Genomic DNA, 5,972 nt, shown 5'->3' on the forward strand with positions numbered 1-5,972 from the left:
GCCTGCCCAGGACCTGCAGGGAGAGTAGGCAGAGGAAGGCTACTTCACCCCCTCACCTGGACCTGGTCTCCTTTGATGCTGGCACAGAGGATGTGAGGAGTCTGATAGAGGCTGTCTGATTTTCTCTAGGGTCCTGAATATAAATGGACAACAACGGTGGTCATACTCTTCCATCATTCATTCATAAATACCCCCAAGCATACACACACAAGTAATTGTAACTGGGTGCACTGCTGCACACCTGAAGTCCCAGTTACTCTGGAGCCTGTAGTCCCAGTTACTCCAGAGTCTGTAGTTCCAGTTACTCTGGAGATTGAGGCAGGAGGATTGCTTAAGAACAGGAATTCACGTCCTAGATCCTGGGCAACATAGTGAGACCTCTGTGTAAACACACACACACACACACACACACACACACACATAAATATAACCTACATATCAAATTTTCACTCAAAACCTCCTCTTCTATTTATGTTTTTAAACCAGGCCAGGCAAGGTGGCTCACGCCTGTAATGCCAGCAACTCAGGAAGCTAAGGTGGGAGGATGGCTAGGAGTTTGAGACCTGCCTGGACAACATAGCAAGATCCTGTTCCTAAAAAAAGTTTTAAAAATTACCCGGGCATTGTGGTATGCACCTGTAGTCCCAGCTACTTGGGAGGCTGAGGTGGGAGGATCACTTGCGTCCAGGAGATTGAAGCTGCAGTGAATTTTGACCGTGACACTGCTCTCCAGCCTGGGCAACAGAGTGAGACCCTGTCTCTTAAAAAAAGAAAAGATATGCCAAATAAAAACTTTAAAAAAAGTCTGCAGTCCTGACAGCCCACCAAATTAAGATTCTCAGCTGACGTTAGCAGACTACCAGTTCCTCACCACCTGCTTCTTCCAAAGACTCTGCCTTTTGCCAGAATGCATATATTACTTTATCTTTTCTCTCATGTACACATTCTGATATATTTGTAGATGTATTACTTTTCTTTTAAAAATAATTATTTTAAACTTAAAAAATGTAAAGATAATACATGAATATGGTAAAAAAAAAATTCAAACAGCATGGAAAAATGTAAAATGAGAAGAAAAAGTCCTCCTCCCCATGGCATTCTCATTTCTCAGGGACAGCCACTGTGAACAGATTGGTGAGTATCTTTCCCAACATTCACAATGTCTGATATGCATGTTTGATGTCACCCCAATAAAACCGGGTGTCCATGCTCTTGCCTTAGCACAGTGACTGTGGAAAAGAAATACAAATCTGACCTCATGTTTGAACTAGTCTAGTTCTTTACTTAAGATCCCCGGAGGCCGGGCACAGTGGCTCATGCCTGTAATCCCAGCACTTTGGGAGGCCGAGGCGGGTGGATCGCGAGGTCAGGAGATCGAGACCATCCTGGCTAACACAGTGAAACCCCGTCTCTACTAAAAAATACAAAAAATTAGCTGGGCATGGTGGCGGGCGCCTGTAGTCCCGGCTACTCGGGAGGCTGAGGCAGGAGAATGGCGTGAGCCCAGGAGGTGGAGCTTGCAGTGAGCCGAGATTGCGCCACTGCCCTCCAGCCTGGGCGACAGAGTGAGACTCCATCTCAAAAAAAAAAAAAAAAAAAAAGATCCACGGAGAGTGCTAAGGACAGAGGCGCACAACACACATATATGTGTCTCAGGATTTGCAGCTGTAAGCAACGGCAATCACTGTTTTCTGTTAGACAATACTGGTGCTCATAGAATCTCTGGATAACTCACAGCTAGGAGGCTCTGCAGACGAGACCAACCCCCAGAATCATGTGGCAGATTGGTCTGGTTAGAATATGACCACAGACATAGGCACTGGTGGCTGCAGCTTGCAACACCACGACACCCACTCTGGGTCCTGGTTGCTGGCTGCGTGGACCGCTCCAACTGCCACCCAGGAGACTGGAGGTATTGCCACCACTGCCACCTCATGGACTGAGTGGGTTTTACAGAGTGCCTCATGTGACTAATTTCTTTTTCTTTCTTTTTTTGAGACAGGGTCTCGGCTCACTGTAGCCTCAACCTCCCAGGCTCAGGCAATCCTCCCACCTCAGCCTCCCAAGTAGCTGGGACCACAGGCACGCACCACCACGCCCAGCTAATTTTTGTATTTTACTGTGGAGACGGTTTCTCACCATGTTGCCCAGGCTCATGTGACTAATTTCTGATTCAGACACAGGGTGAGTACATTTGATTGGTGGAGTCACGAGTCCCAACCCTCCCTGCAAGGAAAACTGAGGACATGAGTCTCTGGCATTTTCAGCTTCTGCTGTGAAGGGAATTCTGCCTTCTGAAGACGGGGTTCCTTTAACAGACAGAGGATCAGACGCTGGGTGGCTCGAAAGAATGAAAATTGCCTTCTACAATACCACCCTACAAAGCTTCCTAAAAAAACTGTTTTTTCTCTGACCCCCAAGTGTCTTCCTCTCTCTTTCTCTTAGGTCCCCTCTCTCCTTGACTCTCCATCCTACCGTCTGCTTTTTCTACTGCCTTGTGGAGTTCCCTGATTCCTTAGAGGGTGGTGGGGAAACTGAACACTTCGGCTTTATATGTGTGCTCATATACATATGAGCAGGCCTAAAATATGTGTGCAGTTTTTACACAAGGGATGTCGTAGTCTGCCCAATGTTTGGCACCTTACTTTGAACAGCACAGATAAGGGATCACTCCATTTTCATACAGAGTGCTGCCTTATTATGTTAGATGGCTGAACAGTGAATGAACCATGATTTCTTCTTTTTTTTTTTTTTTTCCTGGAAGCATGCTAGATGGCTCACCATGATTTATTTAGTACATCTTCCCCTGATGGCCATTAGGTTGTTGGGAGCCTTTAGTAACTGAAACAGTACTGCACCCTGGTGCATGTGTATTACTCGTCTGTGTTAAGTAGGGATGTTGCTTAGCCCAGCTGGAGGAGAATTCTAGTTTTTAACACTCCTGGGTGTGAAGTCACAGTGGGCTGGATGGGCCTCCCAGCGCCTGCTTCCAGAGAAGTCTCTATATGCCTCGTGGGTGGATGTAGAACCTGGGAGTGAGGCTTGGCAGGAAATCTGCAGTGAGAAATGTCACAACCCAAACAGTAACTCATACACAGAGCTTCGCATGTCTCATTCCACAAGGATCAGCAGCTGGACCATTACCTGGAGCTATAGACTTGATGAAAGCCCCAGAAATGGCTAAGGCAGAGGAAGTGCCTGGGAGTTGTTTGGCAATTTGACACAATATCTTTTAGATATTTTTAAAGCCACTGAGCAAATCAAATCCTCAAGTTTAGGGATGGATTCAAAGGCCAGTCCTTTCACTATCGGACTGGAATGATTTTTAGTCATCTTACCTCTCAGCATTTACTCCTTTTCCCAGATGCAGCAGCCCCACCTCCTTCCAGGGAGTCACCTGTCCAGGTCAGGTGCCTCCTCAGGGGAAGCATCCCTCACCCGCCAGATTGCCAGGGCGTGTGACTCTATCTGGGCCAACCACATCCTCTCTCCTGGACTTTGACTGCTGCGAGGAGTGAGGCTAGAACCAGAGAAACCTAGCTGATGCTGACTCATGCTGGAGGTTCCTGCGGAGTGAGCATCAGAGCTCATGAGCTCATCTCCCTAGAAACCAGCATGCCTGAACTTGACCTCTGGCTTCTGCAGCCAGGCGGCAACTGTAACAACAGCAACTCCCTCCCTACTCCTCAGGGCCCATATCTGCCCAGCTTCTCCTGCCTTGGTCCAGTGTGGTCTGTACTCCTCCTGTGCTGTCCTCCCAGCCCCTCCACCATTCTGGCTTCCTGTTAGGTAGAGACCCCCTTGACCCATCCCATACCTCCCTCACTTCCATGCCCACCTGGGAGCTGCAACCAGAGCCAGCTAAAGCTCTGCATCCCCCAACCCAAGTACACCTTCATTGTCCCTCCAAAGCCCTGTCTCACCTCAATGAGATGCCTCACTGAGATGCTGGAACCATTTCATCCTCAGTAATTGGGGTCAGTTTCTCCCCAGTCCTGTGACTTCTGCCTCTTGTCACCCTGAGGGCAGGCAGGAGAGCCCTGGTGTGGCAAAGCTGGTTGGGGAGCAAATGGGCACAGGAGAGAAGAGGGAAGGTGTGGGAGGATGAGTCACTGGCAGAGTGGGCAGGGGCGCTAAGGAAGGGAATGAGTGCATGGACCTGGGCTTGATGGTTCAGCTACTGAACACCAAGATGCTGCAATTTGAGAGTTCCAGAAAGTTCTCCCTACTTAGCACTAGCTATTTTACCAGCCTGGGTTAATATAGGATCTTTAGATCCCTTGAGAAGATGAAAATATTTAAATTGTGACCCCATTAAAATCCAGGCACTATCATTTGGATTTGTTCATAACTCAGACCCAGCAAAGACCAAGCAGTAAGAGGATGAGACACCGGCCTGCTGGCTCCAGAAGAAGAAAAACAAATCAGAAAATCTGAATTTGAGGCCCGGTTTCCAATTTACTACTGAGCCACCTTAAGCAAGGTGTTTGATTTTTCTAAACACCAATTCTCTCATCCACATCAGGTCTCTCCTGCTGTCTGGAGAATGGGTCAAAGTGGGCGAGGGAAGGAATGACCCGGAAGTGAGGCTGGAGGGGCAGGAAAGGAGTGGAGTGCCAGCATTCCTGCTCCGCCCTGCGCTTCCCAGGCACCCCTTACACACACCTCCCTGTCCCCAAAGCCCCCAGCCATGTCTTCATGGAAACGAGGCAGGAAAGCGGAGCAGGCGCAGAGGTGCCCGTTGCTGTACATCTGTAGTTGCTGCATAGAGTGAGAGCAAACCTGGCGCTAAAATTGGTAGCAGGTAAATAGATAAATGAGATGGTCCCAGGAGAGAACTGCTCATGCTCTGAAAGACTCATGTCACCAAAAAGGGCAGACAGAGTGTCCTATTTTTTTTTTTTTTTTTGAGATGGAATCTCCCTCTGTCACCCAGGGTGGGGGGCAATGGTGCGATCTCGGCTCACTGCAAGCTCCGTCTCCTGGGTTCAAGCAGTTCTCCTGCCTCAGCCTCCTGAGTAGCTGGGATTACAGGCAGGTGCCACCACACCGAGCTAATTTTTGTATTTTTAGTAGAGTCAGGGTTTCGCTATGTTCGTCAGGCTGGTCTCGAACTCCTGATCTCAAGTGATCCGCCACCTTGGCCTCCCTAGGTGCTGGGATCACAGGCATGAGCCACCGCGCGCTGCCCACGGTGTCCTACTTAACAAGGCATCTGGCCCAGCCATCATTGGAAATCCACCTGGCTTCAGGTCAGCCCCCATGCAGGGCCCTTTCTGAACTCTTTAGACCCTAGGCTGCTGCCAGTTGGGGTGGGATGGGTGCGGGAGGTGGGTGCTGGGTTTTGTACACCCAGAAGTTTTCAAATGAAACCGTGTTCTAGACATTGGAATGCCCGTGAGGCCTTCAGTAGACCCCACATCATCACCTCTCAGTGCCTGCCCTGACAGGGACTAGGACACGTTGTGAATGTGAGGGGAGCATGGCCATGGGCTGAGCGTGAGCGGCTGTCCCCAGGCTGTCATGTTCAGAAGGCACCTAAGCTTTTAGGGTTTACTGGTTCTTTCCTCCTCCTGGAAGGCCTCCACTGATTTTAAACAAATGGTTAATGCATTTATTTATTTATCTATTTATTTATTTGATTGATTGATTGATTGAGACGGAGTCTCGCTCTATGGTCGCCCAGGCTGGAATGCAGTGGCTCGATCTCAGCTCACTGCAACCTCCACTTTCTGGGTTCAAGCGATTTTCCTGCCTCAGATTCCCAAGTAGCTGGAATTACAGACACCTACCACCATGCCAGGATGATTTTTTTTTTTTTTTTTTTGAGACGGAGTCTCGCTCTGTCACCCAGGCTGGAGTGCAGTGGTGCGATCTCGGCTCACTGCAGCCTTCGCCTCCCGGGCTCAAGCAATTCTCCTGCCTCAGCCTCCCCAGTAGCTGGGATTACAGGGCGCGCCACCACACCTGGC

At 49.3% G+C, this 5,972-nt stretch overlaps 4 annotated features.

Moving 5' to 3' along the window:
• Positions 1,982 to 2,168: a silencer, noted in NCBI's record as "fragment chr2:113448691-113448877 (GRCh37/hg19 assembly coordinates)". NCBI's record gives its function as "represses an EF-1alpha promoter that drives an FKBP-Casp9 reporter gene in an ReSE screen in K562 erythroleukemia cells {active_cell/tissue: K562}" and the evidence as "EXISTENCE:reporter gene assay evidence [ECO:0000049][PMID:32094911]".
• Positions 2,901 to 4,100: an enhancer, noted in NCBI's record as "CDK7 strongly-dependent group 2 enhancer chr2:113449610-113450809 (GRCh37/hg19 assembly coordinates)". NCBI's record gives its function as "activates an origin of replication core promoter dependent on BRD2, BRD4, P300/CBP, MED14 and CDK7 cofactors, with strong dependence on CDK7, by STARR-seq in HCT116 cells {active_cell/tissue: HCT116}" and the evidence as "EXISTENCE:reporter gene assay evidence [ECO:0000049][PMID:35650434]".
• Positions 3,519 to 3,758: an enhancer, noted in NCBI's record as "active region_16396". NCBI's record gives its function as "activates an Ori minimal core promoter by ATAC-STARR-seq in GM12878 lymphoblastoid cells {active_cell/tissue: GM12878}" and the evidence as "EXISTENCE:reporter gene assay evidence [ECO:0000049][PMID:35858748]".
• Positions 5,218 to 5,717: an enhancer, noted in NCBI's record as "H3K4me1 hESC enhancer chr2:113451927-113452426 (GRCh37/hg19 assembly coordinates)". NCBI's record gives its function as "activates a minimal SCP1, AML or CMV promoter by ChIP-STARR-seq in primed H9 embryonic stem cells {active_cell/tissue: H9 hESC(primed)}" and the evidence as "EXISTENCE:reporter gene assay evidence [ECO:0000049][PMID:30033119]".

This window comes from Homo sapiens, chromosome 2, assembly GCF_000001405.40.
Source record: "Homo sapiens chromosome 2, GRCh38.p14 Primary Assembly".
In the NCBI taxonomy this organism is placed as follows: domain Eukaryota; kingdom Metazoa; phylum Chordata; class Mammalia; order Primates; family Hominidae; genus Homo; species Homo sapiens.